The sequence below is a fragment of the Homo sapiens genome, chromosome 7 (assembly GCF_000001405.40).
Source record: "Homo sapiens chromosome 7, GRCh38.p14 Primary Assembly".
In the NCBI taxonomy this organism is placed as follows: Eukaryota; Metazoa; Chordata; class Mammalia; order Primates; family Hominidae; genus Homo; species Homo sapiens.
In genome coordinates, this window is record NC_000007.14 from 45,679,828 (window position 1) to 45,702,037 (window position 22,210).

At 48.6% G+C, this 22,210-nt stretch overlaps 1 protein-coding gene across 2 annotated transcripts in view, besides 1 other annotated feature; it reads left to right on the forward strand.

Moving 5' to 3' along the window:
- The window catches only part of ADCY1 (adenylate cyclase 1), a 148,977-nt gene that overhangs the window by 105,688 nt on the left and 21,079 nt on the right, over positions 1-22,210 (forward strand). For both annotated transcript variants that reach the window (NM_021116.4, XM_005249584.4), the window contains exons 12-14: positions 5,152-5,241; positions 6,135-6,388; positions 6,720-6,846. In NM_021116.4, the coding sequence (NP_066939.1) occupies positions 5,152-5,241; positions 6,135-6,388; positions 6,720-6,846 (471 nt within the window). The remainder of the gene's footprint in view (positions 1-5,151; positions 5,242-6,134; positions 6,389-6,719; positions 6,847-22,210) is intronic.
- Positions 6,357-6,858: an enhancer, noted in NCBI's record as "H3K4me1 hESC enhancer chr7:45725783-45726284 (GRCh37/hg19 assembly coordinates)". NCBI's record gives its function as "activates a minimal SCP1, AML or CMV promoter by ChIP-STARR-seq in primed H9 embryonic stem cells {active_cell/tissue: H9 hESC(primed)}" and the evidence as "EXISTENCE:reporter gene assay evidence [ECO:0000049][PMID:30033119]".

The following is a 22,210-nucleotide window of genomic DNA, read 5'->3' on the forward strand; positions in this document are numbered from 1 at the left end:
CACCTGGTTCATGTATGTGAGTGGCCTGTATCCTGCACCTGCATATCACCTGGTCCAGGTATGAGGGTGGCCTGTGTCCTATACCTGCATATCACCTTGTTCAGGTATGTGGGTGGCCTGTGTCCTGTACCTGCATATCACCTGGTCCAGGTATGAGGGTGGCCTCTGCCTGCCCTCTGGGTGGGATGGGGTGGGATAGGGGAGGCAGTTCTGTTCCCTCCCCTGCCTAGACAGGAAGAAAGAGTCTGCTCATATAGCAGGTGCTCATGAAGACCCAGTTCTGCACTGGGCACATGCACTCCTTTGGGAGTGTACCTGGTGGGCACAATAGACTGGCGATTGATATTGATTAAACAAATGAGCACAAGATACTGATCCTGTTCTCTTGGAATGGAGAGTCTAGCAGCAGGACAGAAGAGGGATGTTTATTCTGTGTTTATGTCACAGACTTTGGAGAGGGGTGACATTTTCCAGGTACATTGTGCTATCTGGGCCCTGATGCCTCATCTGCTTTGCTCTGTGGGCTTTTGCAGGAAAGACGTGAGCTTTGCGGCCTTGTACTATCTGTGGCTCACTTGGAGGACTGTATAGTTCCTAGTCCTGCATTCCTTCATCACATTCTCCACCTTCATTTCTAAACGACTCGTTTCCCTCAGCCGACCCCAGGATGTCACTTCTGGCAGACCCAGTGTTATATTTGCATAATTACTGAAAACAGCAACTTTTTGAAAAGATTAAATCTAGTTTCATTCATTTAACTTTGTCATTATTCATAGGTAATATCTTGAGTTTTTAAATTAAAAAAATGCTAACTATTAAAACTTCATTCCTATTTCTTTGACTTGTATAGATTGAGTGACATTTGGTTTGACAAATTTTAAAATTTACCACTTCAAGTAAAACTGCTGTTTTTCATATAATTTCAAGTGAAAGCAGGACAGAAGGATGATAGTTTTTAAAGCCTATTCCTTAGTCCTCAGTGGTGGGAACCAGTGTGCCCACCCAATGGTGTACAAATAGCATTAGACATGCAGAAAGTGTGAAAAGCCATTGGGCAAGAAGAGCGATGACAAAGCAGAAGCCAAGGAATGCGCCAGCCTGGAAAGCTCTGCCCAAAGGTCCTGGCCCAGGAATACTGATTCTTGCGAGTGGATGTACACTGCTTTCTGTGACTCCACGAGAGCCTCCCAAGCCAGGTGGTGAGACGGGTCAGCCCCTTTCCCACATGTGAGGAAAGTGGGCTCAGGCAGGCTAAGGGATGTGCTCATGAAACCAGGAAGCAAAATCTGCACCCAATCTGTCCATAAAAATAATATTCAAATTAAGAAAACTCTCGGTTCTAAAAAACACATGATCTGTGGGATTGGGGCGCTAAGTCATCTGCCCAGAATTACCCCCCTTTTGTTAATAAGGGAGCTGCCCTCATGGCTGGGAACTTTGGCCAGAATAATTCCAGGTGCTGACATTAAAGGAGGCTAGCCTGCAGTTATCCCATGAAGCTTCTTCTGTATTCCAGTGTTTTGTTCTCTTGGTGGACTCTGCCCTGGATGCCACTAGCTCCTTTCCTTCTGAATATTCACTCTCCCTTCTCACCCTCTTCTGTGAGCAAGCATAGAGCGTTTTTTCCTAAGTGTGTGGTTTGGAGGTGCTAGGTTCGAAAAGCAGTGGGGGTCCAGCTTTCCTGGGAGTGCCATCAGTGGTGCTTGCGGCTGTTGTGGAAGAAGCAGAGTGGAGACTAAGTGCCCAGACTTCTCAGCTAGGACAGGAGAGGGGATTCAGCTCACAGCCAGTGTGTACTGGGTCAGGGTTTGATTGAATCACAAGTATTTAGGCTCCTGTTCGCAGGCTCTGCACCGGGCTCTGAGCATCCCTGCTGACCCTGGGCCAGGGAAGAGGCCTGTGCAAATGGCTGTGGGAATGGAGGTGAGGGAGGTTTGCAGGAAGCCAGCAGGGGATAGGTCAGGGCCACCCAGCAGAAGGCCATTGTGGCCTGAGTGGACGCGGTGGGTCATGCAGACGGAGTTAGTTCCAGAACACATCCTTGAGAAGGCCGGGTAGAAATGTTTCCCTCCCCGACATTGACAGTGTCCAGAGCCAGGGTGCCCAGGGCAGTGTGGCAGTTCCATGGCCCCTTGGGACCTTCACCCCTATCTGGTTTCCCCATCCCCATCCCTCGGGGGTATGTCAACTCCAGGCTTGGGCTCCAGTTGTCTGGGCCTCAGGGTTGCCCTCTGTGAAATGGCGGTGATGATGGCCCCCACCTCACTGGCTTGACATGAGGATTCAGTGAGCTCATTTGCACAAAGTCTGTGGAGCAGAGCCTGGCACAGCACACGCTCAGTTGGAGTGTTCTGAAGTCAGATGAGACAGAGAAGCTGCATGGGGGTGGGGCAGTGGGTGTAGCTCATCCCGGGAATCAGGGTGGGGAGGTGCCTAATCCTGTCCATCTTGACCATCTGCAGAGGGCGGCAGAGCTGACCCGAGGGTCCTGCTGAGGGTTGAAAAGGAATGTCTGGGGCAGGATGTGGACTTTTTCTGTCAGGGTTGCAGGCTGAGGTTTGCATGGCTAGGCCTGGAGAACATCAGGAGCGGGCAGAGGAGAGGAGGAAGCCCAGGAGGTGTGCACTGGCTGGACCCCGGGGTGCTGCAGGTGGGGCAGGCCGAGGTCAAGGCGTCAGGCACATTCAGAGGCCCTTGGCTGGACCCTGGGGATGTGGGCACAATGTGGTCCACAAGGTGGCTGGGTGTGCCTCGGATAAGCTGCTTCTGCTTCTCCCACCCTGGCCTGGTGCTCACAGACCTGCATTTCAGCCCTGTTTTCCCCATCCTCCTTCTCGCCGTCCTAGGGCTCTAAGAGAGGCAGATGGGACAGGCTCAGGAGGGTGTTGGGCCCACCCAGGCTGGCTAGGGTAGAGGCCGCATCCCATCATAGGTCCCCAAGCCAAGGTGTGGAAGGTGGTAGGTGGTGGAAGGAAGATTTTCACCAGTTATGATACTCGAGTTAAACTAGGTGGCTTTGAAGAAAAGAGAAAACCTTGGCAGAGATCCTTAAGGTAGGGGGAAGGGAGCCTCACCGCACAGAGGGGAGTGTAGCACCATCAGAGACAGCCCGAGGGCTTCATTCTAGCCCCTGTGAGTGCAGACGGTCAGGAAATGGTGCCTGCTTTTTCTCCCTCTCATCCTCAGTTGACATCATCTCCCGAAGTGCCACAATGGCCACTTTGTTCATGAGCCCATTGGGATGACAGGAGTGGCCGAGGAAATAGAATGACTGGTGTCCACAGTAGGGGTTGTCCTATCCACTGGATTTGAATTCTCCGCTGCTTAGGTCACCCTTTAGTGAACATTCATATGGGACACAGTATCTTAACATTTTTCACCCACTTGGAGAGGTTTATCTACATACTTTTCCCCCAGACCCCCTTGTCATTAATTTTCCAACCATGTCTTTCCCAACTCCCTGAACATCCAGCCAAACCGTTGTCCACAGCTTATGAATCAGTATATGACTACATCTCACCATTTCTCCTTGGAAACAAAGTACCCACCCAGGGGAACTGCCCAAAGTTCTGCCCAATGGGAGGATTTCCCTTCACCATTGTCCCTCAGGGCTGTGTCATTTGGGCTGAAGTGCTGCAGCTGCCCACAAGGCCTGAGCTTCTCTTACTCTGTCACCTAATCAGAGGGAGCTCCCCATGAGGCCATAGGTACAGGCTGGGAGAGAGAAGGCAGGGTAGCAGGACTGGGGACTATGGTCATTGGGGCCATTTTGTCGTGTCACTTACTTGTGCCTTAAGGGTCTGCTCGGAGCTGATCATATATATTAGCACTTTCATTTGATGATGGAGGGCTGCTGTTCACACCCAGCTTTATGGCTTGGTGGGTCAGGTAACGCCCAGTTCATGATGGGCAGCTCAGGTCATGCGGTAACTTGGCCCACAGGTAGGGGTTCAGGCTCTACTCAGGCCCAGCGGCAGGCCAAGAGGCTTTCTCAAAAGGAGAATAGTTACCTGCAAAAGATGGCAGGATCTTGCTCTAAAATCCTGTTCCCAGGCCTGTGGTATGGCTCCCGCATGGGGGCCTGCCAGTGGCTCTGGTGGCCTCCCTTAGCACACCGAGCTCACGCCAGGTGGAAGCGGGGGAAGCAGATGATGGGAGGCTGCAGTGGGGATCAAGGACTTGCACCTGCGTCTTGCCCAGAGGCCAGGTTGGGACTGGGAGGGAAGTGCAGTGATTCACGGTCAGTAAAGTGTTTGAGCCTCACACCGCTGCAGAGCAGCGGTTCTTCTGAGATCAGCAGAGACCACTGGGTTGGTGAAATACCCAATGGTATCTTGGGACTTGGGAAACCTAGAACTGGATCCTAGATCCATAACCCACCAGCTGGGTAAGCTGGGACACACTGCCTTGTCCTTGTCCATAGAAGAAGTGATGCTGGACTGGGTGGATTTGTGCCACCTTTTTCTCAACTGTAGAGCGGAGTTAGTAATGATCTGACCTCATGTGGGGGTTAAAGGAATAACCGTGTAGCCGGCGAAGGGCACCCCGACTAGTCGGGGACTCTAGCAGGGTGAGTTGTTTTCTGTAAGGTCCCTGCGTATTAATTTTAGTTTATATTTATACTTTCAGAAGTGTTAAGTGTAAAAAGGACTTCTTTTATCCGTGAAATCACTTTTTGAAGATTTCAAAATGTCTGTATAATACATAGATTTAAAATAAAATTTCTAATAACTCTATAAAACCTACGTGAACAAAATAATAAAATTTATTTAGAGCATATCAAAGAAGACACAAATGAATGGAAATTTGTACCATTTCTGAAATGGAAGAATTCAATATAATGAAAATACCAAGTTAATCTATCCAGTTAACTTCAGTGCCAATCAAAGTTACAATGCAAGTGGAAGGAAGGGAAGTATTATTCTTTGTAATTTAAAGACTTCAGGTTTCTTTTTTTAACTTTGGCAAGCTTTTCACCTGGGAGAATAAACAAATGAAAAAAGCCAAGAGACATGTGAGGAGGGTGAAAAACGGATGTGGACCTAGCAGCTTGCAGGTCATCTGCACATTCCACTATAGGAAGTATTAACTGTGCACGTGAATCACCTTGGTAATCAGAGGGTATTTTCTAAATTAACATTTCTTATTCAGTGTTTTCCAGGGTGCCTGACGATTCAGATTCGCACTGTCCTGTGTATTTTCATAGTGGTCTTAATCTACTCAGTAGCCCAAGGTTGTGTGGTGAGCATCTCCAGCTTGTGGCATGCGCTGGGGCGGGAGAGGGCATGGCATGGAGGACCAGCCCAGAAGCCAGGACCCAGGGCTGCAGAGACAGGGAGGTCATCAGAGACGTCAGTAACAGGCATGGGGCCCCAAGGAGCCAGGGAACAAGAGACTTTACTTAGCAGAGGAAAATGCAAATTCTCCCTGGTGAAAGGAGCCTGGCTTCTTCATACGGTGCAGAGGACAGAAGCAGGGGTGGAAAAACAGGACAGACAGGGCAGGAGGAACAGGATGGAGCTGGGCAGCAGTAACAGGATGAAGCTGGGCCAGGAGGAACAGGATGGAGCTGGGGCTTGGAGTGAAAGGATGGAAGTGGGTGGGAGTAACAGGATGGAGTTTGTAGTGGGAGTAACAGGATAGAAGTGGGGCAGGAGTAACAAGATGGAGCTGGAGGCAGGAGAAACAGGAAGGACAGAGCTGGGGGCAGGAGGAACAGGACGGAGCTAGGGGCATGATTAACAGGACAGAGCTGGGGGCAGGAGGAACAGGACAGAGCTGGGTGCATGATTAACAGGACAGAGCCGGGGGCAGGAGGAACAGGATGGAGCTGGGGCAGGAGTAACAGGTTGGAGCTGGGGGCAGGAGTAACAGGTTGGAGCCGCTGGGCTGGGGAGCAGGCAGGGCTGATCCCACCTGGTCCTCCCTGGAGCCTCTTGCCTGCTCTGGCAGCCAGTGGGGAGCCTTGAAGTGCTGTGAGTTGCCATGAGGTCTGTGGCTTGGTGTGATAGCACTGGGGGTGGGTCAGAGCAAAACCTTGGGAGACCTGCTTGAAGAGGGACACCTGAGCATGCTTAGGGGCTGCAGGTCTTCACCTGCCCTTTGCTAAGCCCCTGTGACCCCTCCCTTCCCAGGTGGGCTGCCTGCCTTGGGCCTGGAGCTCCAAGCCCAACAGTTCCCTGGTGGTCCTTTCGTCTGGGGGCCAGCGCACAGCCCTGCCCACCCTGCCCTGCGAGTCTACACACCATGCCCTGCTCTGCTGCCTGGTGGGCACCCTCCCGCTAGCCATATTTTTCCGGGTGTCCTCCTTGCCAAAAATGATCCTGCTCTCCGGGCTCACCACGTCCTACATCCTCGTTCTGGAGCTCAGCGGATACACCAGGACTGGGTAAGTGTGTGGCTCCTCAAGAAAAAGGCCTAAGCAGCGGTGCTACTGAATCTGTGTATACAGATATGCACTACAGGCTTCTGAGTCCAGAACTAGTCAAGTTGAATTGTATACACAATTTTTAGTTTGGTGGCTGCTTCTCTTCAACCCAAGTTCTAGCAAGGACTCAGATTTCCCTATGATAAGTGATTCTTGGCCAAGGTCAATCCCAGCAAGCTGTTTTTGGGTGTCACCACCTGAGGGTCACTCTGAACAGTTCTTGGGTTTGGTGGCAGAGTCTTGCCCTGGAAGCTCGGCACTGACTTGGCTTTTCTTCCTCATCTTCCCCCAGGGGTGGTGCCGTCTCCGGGCGCAGCTACGAGCCGATTGTGGCCATCCTGCTCTTCTCCTGTGCGCTGGCCCTGCATGCCAGGCAGGTGGACATCAGGCTGAGGCTGGACTACCTCTGGGCCGCACAGGCAAGACGAGCCCTTTCTGCTTTCTGGGGGTGGGGGATTTAGAGGAGGAAGAAGTCTTCAGCAAGCATCTGACGGGGGCTGCCACAGACACCCACACGCCGTATGGCCCTCGGAGGGCCCTCCTCAGCAGCATGCAAGCCAGGCACTGTCCGGGGATGGAGGAGACCTATGCTGGGGGTGCAGGGAGTGGGAGCCATGCCTCGTGAGAGGACAGTTCAGAAGGTTGTGGGGTGCATGTTGTGGAGACCTGCCTGATGGTCAGAGCGTGGCTCTTTCACGAGGCAGTGAGTCCCCCTTCACTGAACAGCATGTGCAGTGGTGGTGCAGAGGGGCTCAGCCTCTGCAGGGCTGGGCAGTGGCAGCAGGTCTCATCGGGGTCATTGGGAAATACAAGAAAATGCCAAAACTCTCACCACCTACTCCAAATTGAGTAGGTCAGCAGGTGGGGGCTGGACGTCTATATTTTTACATGTACCCTGGGAAATTCTGACACAAGAGGCATAAGCACCACTCTTTGGGAGACTCCATGGAGTAGCAAACATGTGAACTGGCTTCAGGCCCCAAACATCTGGGTACCAGGCTGGAGAGGAGACATGCTTTCCTGAAGTCTGTAGGTGGCTTTCTGTTTGGATGTGATCCTGGCAATGACTGCCAGATATTCACCTTGAGTTCCTGCTGCGGAGCCACAGCAGGGGTGTACCTGTGTCCACCCCATGGCCAGGGGCCAAGGCAGCGTGTGGGTGCTGGTGTGAGCATCTTCACACCAACTCCATACTCCACAGCCCTCCGGGAGGTGAGGCAATCAAACATTTAGGACCAGGCTACCTGGGTTCAAATCCCATTTGTGGAATTTGCAAACTGTTTCACCCTGGGAAAATTGCTCCTCCTAGGTTTCCTCCCCTGAAAACCGGGAATGAAGGCTGATGAATATTAGCTTTAGCAAGAGATAGTCTTCTTATTTTGACACCTTAAGAATAGCTCTTCGCTGTTGGAGCTATTTGATCTCATTCAGTCTTCAGAACAGCACTGCCTAGGAGCTGGGATTACAGACAAGAACACAGGGGCCACTAAAGTAACATGCCAGAGTCGGGCAGCCAGAAGGTGGCTGAGCTGGGATCCAGCTGCCATCTGTGTGATCTTTGGGTAGGCTCTGAACCTGTGGAGAGAGCTGTGTCTGGGGCCAGGCAGGACAAGAGCATTTTCACCCTAGTCCTACTCTGCAGTCAGGACTGAAGGCAGGTGCAGCCCAGAGTTGGGGCACAGACACCAGACAGGCACAGCCCAGAGGGTGCCCAGGAGGAAGCGTGGCCAGGACCAGCTGAGAGCTCACTGTGGAAGCAGGACCAGGCTTGCTGCTGGAGTTGGGAAGCCTGTCAATTTTTTGTCTTTGTTCCTGAGGCTGACTGGGCATCAAGCCATGCAGTTAAGTGACCGAAACCCTGGTCAGCAGTAGCAGGGGTAACAAAGGTTGGGCCTGGCATCAGGTGGTCCTCGTCCTGAATTCCAGCAACTCCATGTAGGGTCTGCATGACTTCAACCAGTGATAGGTCAATCTGTCTTTCTGCTTCAGCAGTAAAATGGGGTGAGAACCCTAATCCAGGTGTGCAAGAAATAACTGAAATTCTATTCCTGATGTCGTTGGCCACGGGCCTTGTGCAAAGTAGGTGCTCGGTAAGGCTGAGCAGCCCTTTGTCTGGCAGCCTGTTACTCTGTGATGAGCCATTTTTGGGGGGATCTCTTTCTGGGAGGGAGGGTTAGAGTAGGGTGAAGGGTAGGTGTGAGGAGCATCTGGAGGCAAGTTATCACTCATGAAAAAAATGAACACAATTGTTTCCTCTAGTTTTATTCATCTGGAAAAGACAGAAGCAGCTCAGTGGGTTTATGTCAGCATGACAGGGCAGGATGCATATTTAAAGTGATGGAAATTATGTTGTTGATTTGAGTAAGCAAAAGAAAGAACATATACATACATCACACACACACACTGTCTATATGTGTATCTATATACATGTGCTCACAAATGCTTGGTGAAAAACATGGCTTATTTTTTCCTTCACTGTATAATAGCTTTATTGAGATATATTTCACATAACACAATTCACTTGTTTAGTGAACAGTGGTTTTCAGTATACTCACAGTCCTGTAACGATTACTATAATCAATATTAGAATATTTTTATCTCCCTCAAGAGAAACCCATCCCCATCAGTTAACACTCCCCATTTCTCCTCAACCCCCAAACCCTAGGCAACTACCAGTCTACCCGCTGTCTGTAGATTTTCCCATTTCATTTATTTTTCAGCCTGTGTATTAAGTTAGTGCCTGTTCTGGGCAGAAGACATTCCTGTGTCCTACTAGATGGAGCTCTGAGCTAGCCTTGTAGGTGGGGAAGATCCAGATTCCTGAGGGACTCATGATCTGGCGCTGTCTTCACTGCATACCTGAATTCCAGGTTCTGGAGTGGGCAGGGGTTGCTGAGAACCCTCGCCCTTTGGCCTCTCCCGGGGAAGTGCTGCTGTGTGGTGCGCTCACTGTCAGCAGGGCTGTCTGGGCAGAACAGGCCCTAATTCCTGCTGGGGAGTGGGAGGGGACCCTGGTGGGGGCATAAATACATCTGCATTAAGCTGTTCTTGCACTGCTATAAAGGAATATCAGAGACTGGGTTATTTATAAAGAAAAGAGGTTTAATTGGCTCACAGTTCTACAGGCTGTACCAACAGGCACCAGCATCTGCTTGGCTTCTGGGAAGGGCTCAGGGAGCTTTTACTCATAGCAGAAGGCAAAACATGAACATACATGTCACATGGCGAGAGCAGGAGCAAGGGGGTGGGGGGAAGGTGCCACACACTTTAAAACAACTGGATCTTGCGAGAACTCTGACTATCGCGAGAAAGGATAGCACCAAGCCATGAGGTATCCACCTGCTTGACCCACACACCTTCCACCAGACCCCATCTCCAACACTAGGATTACATTTCAGCATGAGATTTGGCAGGGACAGATACCCAAACCATATCAACATCTGAGTCTGACTTATCACCAGAGGAATGCAGGCTGTGGCAGGAAGTGAGTCCTCACGCCAGAAGGCCTGACTGCGGCCACAGTGGGTTTGAGAGGAAGCAAAGCCAGGCATACTGTGTTTCTCTGGGCCTTGTGCGATGCTTCAGATTCGGTTATGGAAGGATGAGGGATGGGGTTGAGGGGAAAGGGACGAGGAACATGGCAGAAAGAGGGAATTCTTCAGCAAAAACTGTGAGAGGAGTCAGAGTCCAATCACAGGGGCCAGTGCTCCCTCCAGGCCCCCTGTGGGCAGTGGAGCTGCAAAGGGAGGGCGATAGGACCCGATCCCTGTCTCCAAAGGTGGTCTGACAATGGAGTGTGACACACAGCCCAGGAGGCAGGTGGGAGCCCTGTGATCCACAGGGGCCCTGAGGAAAGCAAGTTGCATGGTCAGGGGCTGGCAGGAGGGCACCTCGGAAGTGGTCGTGTGGAGTCTGGCCACTGTTGGCCATCAAGTGAGGGTGCAGTAGTGGAGGTAGAGTGGGTCTCCAGGGGGCTGTGCATGTATCACAGCCTGGGCTGAGAGCGGAGGGCACACTCTAAGGGGGTGAGTTCAGGAGCCCTTATGATGCTTGGACTATTTGAAAGACAGGGGCAGGCACAGGGCATCTCCAGGCTGGTGTGGCACTTGGGGCAGCCACAGTGGGAATGGGCCCTAGAACCAGGGAACAGAGAGGGCTGCCTGATAGGATTCACCACCTTCAGCCGGGAGACGCAGCCAGTCCGCAGCAACCATGCAAAGAGGAACTGGGAATGCTCTCCTCCCTCGCTACTGGCCCCTGCTCCCGCTCCCCATTGGCCAAACCTGGCCGGAAGTAGGAGGCCCAGGACCCTGTTGGTAGAGTCCTTGGACTGGCCTCCCTGGTACAGAACCGGTGGGGAATGGACTGCAGATACAGCACATACCTGCCCTGGAAGGGAGATCTGGCCAGATACAGCACATACCTGCCCTGGAAGGGAGATCTGGCCAGCTGCAGTTTGCTAAAGCCACACCAGGTAATAGGAAAAGAGCCTCTTTATGATGGGCTGTGTTGCTGAACTTGGTCTTAGTTTGGCTCTGGCTGGCTATCCAGGGTGATCCAGCTGGCTGGTCTGGGAGGATATGTTGACCCAGCCATCAGCTGGCCTCTCTGGGTTCAGATCTTTTTGTTGCAAAAACCTACTCAGAGCTTGAGAAGAATGGACTTGGGATGAGCTAGAAAAACTGGAACAGCCCAGGCCCATGAGATCTGGGGTTTCCAGGTTATTTACTAGGGTGCCTGGTTGGTTCCTCATTCTCAGACAGCAGATTTGGGCCTTGGCTATGACTCTTCCAGTTGAGGGACACTTCTGGGAGAGACATTTCCTCTCATCTGGGTTGACATGGCTTTTTCTTGGCTTTGTTGTTCTTTGAAATGTTATTAAATGCAGTATTTGACCCTGCCATGTCGTTCTCCATCCAGTGACACCCCCTAGCAATGCCCAATGAGCATACCAGTAATTTTAGGGCTAGAATATGCATTCCTGGGCCTTGGGGCAGCCCGGGCAAGTCTGCGGATCCTTGTGCATGCGTGTCACAAGAAAGGGTTGCCCACATGGAGTATACTGCCATGTTTGTCCACAGATAGGTAACAACAAATGCCACCTGCTTTCCCGTAACCCTAGCAAAACACAGAACTTTGTAGACTTTGCCTGTTTGCCCTTGGACATTTAGGTATGTAGTACAAACATTAGAGTGCCTCAAACTATTGCAAAATTGCCAGGCCAAACACTAGGTAGGTTAATTATTTACAGAGACTGGATTGATTGTCCAAACCTGCACAAACAGATAGGCTTTTCCCTTGGGAGGCATCTTCAGCCTCTTCGCCTGTAAACTCTTGTATGCTTTTGTTCCAGTGTCATTTCTTTCTTTGCATTCAGTAGATAATCATCATGGCAATTATAATTTCAATGTTTATGCTATTTAGTATAGAATGAAGTTAAAACAACTTATTTCTCTACCAATAAACGCTTAATTCGATGGTAATTCCCATTTTGCAGTTGCCATTATTAACATTTAGAGGGAAGGTTTCCTAAGATGTGGTCATGGCATAGACATGGAATTTCTGGTGGCAGAAGCTAAGTTAGAGACCTGGTTCCACCTCTTACTCTGGTCACTTGTCTTCTCCACACATGTGACAGTGACACTTGTCTCTCAGGGGGTTGTGGAGGAGTTTATGTCATATAAAGCCGTGGTCATCATGCTTCTTGGACCCTGAAATGTTGTACGCTTGTTAGTCGTCATCTTGTCCTCTGTTACTGGCCATAGGTTTCACATCTGGCCTTTGGGTGAGTACATCCTCACAAACAGCTTTTATGGAGGGACAGATGGTTCCAGATGTATCCTAGCTGCATCCTGCAGCACACTTCTATGGAAACCTCCGAGGAGCCAAACCTTGGTGCGTAACCTCAGGACCCCACATCCATCAGGCCCCATGCCCACTGGAAATACACCCTTTGCCCATCTGAGAGTGCACACACAGCCTCTGGCAGGCATCCACTCTGTACCTACACACAAAGTGTTACCACCTGCCTCCATCCAACAGGTGCTTATTGGGCACCAAAGTATACCTAATCCTGTGCTGGGGACGCTCACATGGTTGAGGTGTAACCCCTGCCCTTGGGTGCTCACAGGCTGTTAAAGGAATCAAACACAAGCCACAGAAAATTTCAGTACAGTGAAGGGCGTGCCATGTAAAATGTAGACAGGACCCTGACCCAGGTAGGTTGGATGTGATATCATTTAAATGTAATACCTCACCCCTGAGGCTTAAAGGATGAGTAGGAATTAGCCAAGGAAAGGGCAGAGTGCTAGGTGGGGTAAGTATGTCTGTCTCGTGAGATGCTTGTTTTTATTGTTATTTTAAAAAATCAGTTCATAATACTGTATTGTGTACTTGAAATTTGGTAAGATAGCAGATTTTAAGTGTCCTCACCGCCCCCATCCCAGACACACACAAATGGTAACTGCAGATGGTGATAGATTTGTTAAGTAATTTGATCGTAGTAGTTATGCAATGTATACATATAGGAAACCATCACATTGCACATCTTAGATATATACAGTTTTTGTTTGTCAATTAAATATTTCAAAATAAAAAAAAATACTAAGCTCACAAAGACTTACCAAATCTGGATCTCAAGAGCAAGAAATTAAATGTTGGTCAAAGGAAAAAAAGGGTCTTTCAGTAATGTTAGCGGGTAATAAAGGGGTCAGTTTATCAAGAGGACATAGTCCTAAACATTTATGTACCTAAAACAGATCATCAAAATACATAAAGTAAAAATTGATAGAACTGCAAGAAATTCTTCTATCTATAATTATAGTTGGAGTTTCCAACATTCCTTTCGAAAAGCGATAGAATCGCTGGACAGAAAATCAGTGACAGATTACAACACTTAAGAACCCTGTCTTGCATCCCAGGGATGAAGCCCACTTGATCATGGTGGATAAGCTTTTTGATGTGCTGCTGGATTCGGTTTGCCAGTATTTTATTGAGGATTTTTGCATCAATGTTCATCAAGGATATTGGTCTAAAATTCTCTTTTTTGGTTGTGTCTCTGCCCGGCTTTGGTATCAGAATGATGCTGGCCTCATAAAATGAGTTAGGGAGGATTCCCTCTTTTTCTATTGATTGGAATACTTTCAGAAGGAATGGTACCAGCTCCTCCTTGTACCTCTGGTAGAATTCGGCTGTGAATCCATCTGGTCCTGGACTCTTTTTGGTTGGTAAACTATTGATTATTGCCACAATTTCAGAGCCTGTTATTGGTCTATTCAGAGATTCAACTTCTTCCTGGTTTAGTCTTGGGAGAGTGTATGTGTCAAGGAATGTATCCATTTCTTCTAGATTTTCTAGTTTATTTGTGTAGAGGTGTTTGTAGTATTCTCTGATGGTAGTTTAACATGCACACGTATGTTTATTGCGGCACTATTCACAATAGCAAAGACTTGGAACCAACCCAAATGTCCAACAATGATAGACTGGATTAAGAAAATGTGGCACATATACACCATGGAATACTATGCAGCCATAAAAAATGATGAGTTCATATCCTTTGTAGGGACATGGATGAAATTGGAAACCATCATTCTCAGTAAACTATCGCAAGAACAAAAAACCAAACACCGCATATTCTCACTCATAGGTGGGAATTGAACAATGAGATCACATGGACACAGGAAGGGGAATATCACACTCTGGGGACTGTGGTGGGGTCGGGGGAGGGGGGAGGGATAGCATTGGGAGACATACCTAATGCTAGATGACACATTAGTGGGTGCAGCGCACCAGCATGGCACATGTATACATATGTAACTAAGCTGCACAATGTGCACATGTACCCTAAAACTTAGAGTATAATAAAAAAAAAAAAAAAAAAAAAACACTGTCAACCAACTTGACTTAATTGACATTTATAAAACACACTATCCAACAGCAACAGAATACGCATTCTATTCAAGAGCACATAAGTATGAACAGTACAGCAAGTCTCAAGAAATTCAAAAGGATTCAAATCATACAAAGTATGTTCCTTAACTACAATATAATTAAATTAGAAGTCCATAACAGAAAGATCTCTGAGAAATCCTCAGCTAAAGAATATACTTCTTAGTAACTTTTGGTTCAAAGAAATCAAACAGGAAATTAGAAAGTAATATGAACCAAATGAAACTACATATGAGATCAACATTTGTGGGGTTCAGCTAAAGCAGTACTTGGAGGAAAATGTATAATACAAAGCACCTGTATTAGAAAAGAAGAAAGGTCTCTCTCAAATCACCTTAAGAAGCCAGAAAAGAGGAAATTAAACCAAAAGTAATCAGAAGAAATTAAATAATAGAGACCAGTTTCTATAAATGTTTAAGGAATAAAATAACAAGGAAGTATTATAATCAATTTTATCTCAATAAAATTGACAACTTACAGGGAAGGATACAGATCCTTTGGGTCTTGCTTTTCACCTTTGTTAGGAAGAACCAGAGGAGCATTAATTCTCAGACTAATTTTGTCCGCTCCTGAGGCAAAACCCTTTTCAGTACTTTACCTGATGCCTGGTGAATTATAAGGTTTTTTATTCTTGCCAGTGGAGGCAGGAACAATTCTCAGCATTGCATGAACTTTGGGGGTTGTTCCCTACAGTCCTTTGCCTAACCTGTGCTAATCCCTAGATGGTTCTTTCTCTAGCCTTTGCTAATCAGTACTCAACTAGAGACTTGAAGAGACCAGAACACTGTGTCCTCTCTGGTATTTTCCCTTTGAACTCAAGCTGCCTTGGGCTTCCAAGCCCTCTAGCCTTGTCAAATCTGGGAGACCCCTAGGCTCCACAGGCACTGTCTCTACATGCGGCTTGGAAACTCTCCCAGCAGTATGCTGGGCCATTGCAGGCCTCATCACTTATTCCCATCACTCAAGGATCACTGTCTTTCATTGCCTCCTGTCCAGTATTTGGAAAGCTGCTGTTTTATATATTTTGTGTGGTCTGCTTGTTGCTTGTAGGAGGGCAAATTGAATTCCTGTTACTCCATCTTTTCCAGAAGTGGAACTTCATGTGGCCATTTAAGTGTCTTTGACCCCAAAACTGGTCATTATCCCCATGTAACAGGTGAGGGCCAAAGTAAATGGCCAAAGGTCAGAACTGAAATCTGCCAAACCCTAAATGGGCACTCTCATGGATGCCATGCATGACATGTCTCAGAATCCTTCTCCTGCCAAGTTAAGTACCATCCAGAGTGGAATGGCATTCTGGTGAGAACTGTCTCTAGGCAGAATCCTGTGAACACAGCCAAGAATTAGAAGTCCTCAGCTCTGAGGCCTGTGCTTCTCCCTCCACAGCAGTCAAGATTTCATATGCATGTGTGGCTGGAGGGTTTCTCTGAAAGGTTAGATCTGGGTTAGAAGGACGCAGCATAACTTCAACATAGAGCAAAAGCTCCAAAGACCCCAGAAGTTGCTTTCTGCCCACAGTGTGGACTGTTCGTGGAGAGCAGTGTGGTAGCAGTGTGGCAGTCACTGTGCAACAAGAAAGAAGATGTCTGTGGTGTGTCTCAATGCCATGTTGGGCTTGAGCACGTGAAGTTCACCTGCAGGCCCTAACTTGAGCACAGCACAGTTTTGCTAATCTATGACCAGCCTGCAGAACTCAGTACTGCTAATGCAGGCACCTCTGTGTTCTTCTCAAGAGTGTGGAAAATAGCACCTCAATTCCTCCCTGGTTCGAAAAGATAGAGAAACGTTGGTAACTCCAGACTTTCTGATGAGGAAATGGAGCCTTCTGCTTTAAGGCACCAGAGGCCGTCTGAAACAGCAGACCCACCGGACATCCCCTAGGACATCTTTCTGTCATGGAGTGTGGCTGCTTTGCATTTTTTTCTGTGTGTGTGCAATGAAAAATCCAGATTTTCGGCCGGGCGCCGTGGCTCATGCCTGTAATCCCAGCACTTTGGGAGGCCGAGGCGGGCGGATCATGAGGTCAGGAGATCAAGACCATCCTGGCTAGCATTGTGAAATCCCGTCTCTACTAAAAAATACAAAAAATTAGCCTGGCATGGTGGCAGGCACCTGTGGTCCCAGCTCCTCGGGAAGCTGAGGCAGGAGAATGGCGTGAACCTGGGAGGCGGAGCTTGCAGTGAGCTGAGATCACCCCACTGCACTCCAGCCTGGGCGACAGAGCTATACTCCATCTCAAAAAAAAAAAAAAAAAAAAAAGGAAAAGAAAAATCCAGATTTTCTGCAACAGTCTGTTACATTTATAATCACAAAGACCATGTTTAGCACAGTTAGTGTCCATGTGGAGTGACTGGGGCCACTCTTGCCTGGCTAGTTGTTGTGGAAACAAGGGAGCTTGTGCTGGCAACACGTGCTCAGGGTCAGGCTCTCAGCCCTCCCCAGGACCGTTCAGCTTCAGAGTGCTCCCCCGTAGGATGGCCTCCCTCACATTCTGAGTGGGTAAATTCACAGTGGCCTCCCCAGCTCTGAGGCCTATGCTTCTCCCTAGACTCTCCTGCATCTTGCAAGTAGAGTAAAAGGTCCAAAGACCCCAGAAGTTGCTTTCTGCCCACGGAGTGGGCAGAAATGTGCACAGGCTGCTGCTGCTAATCAAGGGAGGAGAGGAGAGGAGACTCGAGGAGTGTGGAAGACAGAATGCCATGAAGGCCCTGGGCAGGTGTTGTTTGCTCCTCAGAAAGGAGTAATTTATTCTAATTAAGGGGCTGAAGAGGACTTCCTGGAGGAGGTGGTATTGGACCAGGCCTTTCACTGTGGCAAGAAATGCTGACTTTTCTGAAAAGGGTAATTTTGGTAATTCCCTGATTTCAATGTCTGACATTTTACCCTGGAAACTTCAGTCACTGAAACTGAGCTTGATCAATTTCCAGCAGATCCTACCCCCACATTTTATATTGGTATAAGTGGATATTCAAAGCTAGGAAAGAGGACTCTCACAGGGCCTTCACTTCATTAGACAGGGTGTCTTCTGCTTATGGAGTCTGGATGCTGTCTTCCCAGCCTCGGTTTCTCTCCGTGTACAGTGACGGTGGACCTCGTGAATCACTGAGAGCAGATCTCCCAGGGGCAGGACCAGCTGTGCCCACTGCAGCCTCATAGCTTCACTGTTAGCACGAGCTCTCTTTACCTTTTTTTTTTTTTTTTTTTTTGAGGTGGAATTTTGCTCTTGTTGCCCAGGTTGGAGTGCAATGGCACGATCTTGGCTCACCACAACCTCTCCCTCCCGGGTTCAAGTGATTCTCCTGCCTCAGCCTCCTGAGTAGCTGGGGTTACAGGCATGCGCCACCACGCCCGGCTAATTTTGTATTTTTAGTAGAGATGGGGTTTCTCCATGTTGGTCAGGCTGGTCTTGAATTCCTGACCTTAGATGATCTGCCCGCCTCAGCTTCCTAAAGTGCTGGGATTACAGGCGTAAGCCACTGCGCCCAGCCCTCTTTACCTTTTAAAATGGCATCCCCATCTTGCTTCCTGTCTGAAACACTGGACACAGCCCTGCCTCCAACTACTATGTTGACTCATCCTAAGAAATGAAGAACTACCAAGCATTTCAGCACAGCAAAACTTTCAGCTCAGAAGCTCCTTAGGAGTAAAGACTTCATTGTCAGAAACAGAGCCAGCCTCTGCATTCACCACCGCCGGTCCCAGCATTTCTGTGGGGGTTGGATGTTGGATAGTCCTGGTTTATTTGAGCTGATTTGCCCTCCAGCTCATGAACTCCAATTCCCCCAGCTATGACATCACCACAGCCTCATTTATACCACAGGGCCATGGATGGGACAAACACATCATGAGGGCTGTGGTCTGCCTTTTTATTTCTTGGAAAGAGAAATACAACAAGATGCTAAGTATTTTATAGAAAACCACACATGCATGTGTGCATGCACACACAAACACACATACTCTCTTACACACACACACACACACACACACATACACCACTTATGGACTTCCTAGGGCAGTGTGGAACATGTACATGTGCATGCCTGCATCCACACATTGTAACTGCAGCATTTGAAGGCTTATTCTCTCATTTTCTAATAAAGGTCAGGGATAACATTTTTAATTCATTGAATTGTTCAAATTTAAAATTAAGATTTCTCTTTAATGTAGTAGAATAATGTAAATCACATTTCTCCTCATGAAGCCTTAACCGAAATGCATTTTTGATCTAAAAAGGGCTTTTCATCTGTTCTATGCTAAAAGGGAAGTGGAGCTGATTGGAGTAGCAGGCAGCAGGGGCCTGCATGAGAGAGAGGCCTGGGTTTAGGGGATGGCCACCTGTTGCATTGGCAGGACTTGATGGGTCTGAAGTGCTGAGTTGGGTGCCCGGTGAACAAAGATGCTGAGCCGGGGGCCCTGGTGTTCAGATTAAGAACACCTGCACCACACTCAGCCTGCCCCATGCTGTAAACAGTGCTTGTAAAGTCTTGTGCTTTGGCTGGAAAAGTAATTAGTGAGAAGCAGGCATGTGTTCATGTTATGTGGTCCCTGAAGTGGCCGTGCAAAGCTAGAGTCCCCAGTGGGGAGCTGCGACCTCTCCCCATGCCTCACCCTCCTATCAAGCTGGTCATTTTCATGCATGACCATGGTCCTATGGTTTGAGAAGAACACAGAGTAGGAGCTGGCACCAGAGTGACCCCTGGTAGGCTCAGGTTCTGTGCTCACTGCAGCCGCTGAATTGATAGAAAAAAACTGGACAAAATAAAACTGAACTGTCATTCTGTGTTTAAAATACAGTCTTTTGAGCATACAGCCAGCTGAGTACCAACTCATGGTGTGAGGCCTGGGGAGGTGGCTGGGAGCCCTGCATTTGGCTAAAGCCCTGCCTCCAGCCAGTGCCCTGCCTGGGAGAAGCCTTAGCCAGCTTGCTGGGCTCAGCCTGGACATCCAGGCAGAGAGGGACCTTCAAACCAGTCACCAGTAAGAGGAGTGACCAAAGGAACTGAAAGTAGGATGTAGGGTGAGGGCATTTCAGTCCTTCCATCCTGGTACAGCTGGCCTCTGGAGCACACTGAGGGCAGAACCAAGGCCTCTGGACAAAAGATCCAGGGAGGGAGATTTTCATTCAACGTATGTTGTCCAGCGGCTTGAGGGTTTGAGGTTGGGTGAAGCTGACATGTATAGTAGTGAGTCCCCCATCTCTGTGAGGTGTTCAAGGAAACGCAGATAACTGCTCAAGGAGATTAGGTAGACTGGATTCATTAATTACTTTAGGGGTAAGATTACCTCTAAAAATGCTTCTTGGAATACTGATATTTGAGGGACATATCAAAGCAGCCTCCCGAGCAGCCAGGGTGAGAGCTGCGGACAAGGTGGAGAACGTGTGGTGGTTGTGCACCTCTGCTGGGGGACGGGAGGGTGGGAGGCTGGTAGTTGGTAGGGGCACATCAGGGACCTAACTACATGGGAGGGAAGGAGAGTGGAAAGTGGGAAATACTCCAGAGTTCAGCCCTGTAGAGTTGCTGCCTACTCCTGGTACTCTGAGGTCGGGCTAGGTTGCGCAGCAGTCGCAGGCCTTCTGAGGGTGCCAGTAGTGTTCCTCAGATAGGACGAGTTCTCTTCTCACTACATGTCTGATGCAGTACAGCAAGAGGATCATGTCATCCTTGTCCTCCAAGATCCAGGCCAGTGGACACCGGAGCTTCCTCAGTCCTGCAGCACAGAAGGGGGGCTGTGAAGTCCAGGCTGGCCACTGAGGGTCCAGCCAGAAGCCCCCCTTGGTCTCTCTGGTTATCAAGGGCTGGGACTGCACAATCCTCTTTGTCCCTGAAAGTCAGTGGTGAGCATTAGGGACTTCTACCCCAGAGCCCTGCAGGGAGGAGAGAAGCCACTGGCATCCATTCCGGGGAGACTCACTGGGTCAGGGCATGTGGCTTTGCCCCTCTGGTGTTTCTGCCCTCTTGACAACAGTTATGGGGCTACTCTGGACATGTGCACCCTGCCCAGCCTGCCCAGCCAGGGTCACCCTGAATCTCAGGATTCATCCGTCCTTGGAGCAGCAACACCATGCAGAGACGTGCATCACTTCTTACTTGCTTGCTCTGATCTTTCTTCGTCCCGTCGGTGGCATGGGTCACAGAGTGCCTCTTGCTTAAGGGAAAACCAAGTGTCAAAGAAGCTGAACATGAAGCAATTCAGCCCCAAAGTTAGAGACTAAGTTCCTCTAACCTTGGGGCTGAAGACTATTGTCTTAGCTGCTGCTGTGCTTGGAGAAGTTCCTTTCCCTCTGCACTTTCCCAAAAGGAGGTGTTTGTGGACCCTGGGATGCCCGCAAAGAGGGGTGTGTGCACCTCAGGACACTGGATGGTTCAGTGAGGTTTGGGGAGAGGGCATCACAAAGTCTATTTATAGTGATTGTATCTGAGAATTAAGAAATGTTTTTTCCTGATGTTGAAGAATGAACTGGCAGTGCTGACCTGACACTGGCCAGATGCCCTGTGTCACTTGCAGGAGGGAGGTGGGGACATCACTTCTGAGACAGAATGAGGACAGGACCACCCTCCCTTGGCTGTTCCCTTGTAGTAAACACGTTGTTGATTCCAGGTTCTGTGGTTACTGGTCTTGTTATTTAGAAGACTCTGTCAGGGTGACTGTGGGGGTCACTCATAGCACATGTCGGCACACAGGGAGTTGCCAAGTTATGCTGTTTGTTATTTTGTTCTCTTTTCCAAATGACAAGCCCTCCAGGCTCTGACCTCTCTGAGGCATCACGTAACTATCACTAGATGCATCCTGGTCAGTGATTTCTGAAACAGAAGGACAATTGAGAAGGGAAATACCTTTTGAAAGAAACTGTGCCATAAAGAGAACATTCTGAACATGGAGGTTGGATGGACACGTGATTTTGTTGACAGGAATAATGTGTGGTGCCCACTAATTCTTTCTTAAGAATAGAGTTTCCTGGTGGGAAAATCTTATAGACTGAGAATTTCAGTGGATTTTCATCACATTTGTTAAAATATATAACAATACAACTTCTGCTTGGTTCGTGAAAATAAGTGGCACAGGGAAAGACAGACGTTTCTCAGTCAAATCTCAACAAAGACCTTTGCATTTGTGGATGGATTAAGAGATATATGATGATTTGGGAAGGACAGCAGCTCTGATAGCCCATTAATCCAAATGTGGAAATAAGCAGAATGTAGACACAAATTTTTAAATCACAATGCCATAAACCTAGATTATGGTTTTTAATCAAAGCATATTCAATTACGTTGTTTTCACTAAAATACTATTAACATTAACAATGGTATTTTGGAGAGAGCAGTAATTTTTGTGCCACTAATAAATAAAACAAAGCTATTATTTTAGAAAATATTCTTCACTTTCTGTTTATGTCACCCTTTACAAACCTTTCTTTTGTGTATATTGGAGCCTGATGTGTTAACACATAATTAATAATGTGGGTCCTATAGAGAGGTGTTTGTCCAGAATGCCATTATTGATGAGAACTTGAGTTGAAAGCAGCCCCGGAGACCATCTGAGGCTGGAAATTGAAGGTTTCTGACCTTTGAGCATGACCCAGAGTAAGTCAGCACTGTGCCCAGACAGCCGCTGCGTGGGCAGAGTGTGGCTCCAGCCCATCTGGGCAGCCAGACCCCAGCTCTGGTCTGACCGAGAAGGTTATGGTCCCTGGGTTTCTTTTGTCCTCATCTGCTTCTGGTCTACGCTCCTTAAGGGACAGGAAGAAACACCTGGCGCCGTCTATCTCCATGGATCGCACTGATTCGCTGGCATTGTCTTCCCAGAACACACTTGCACCAGGCCTGCCCTGCATGC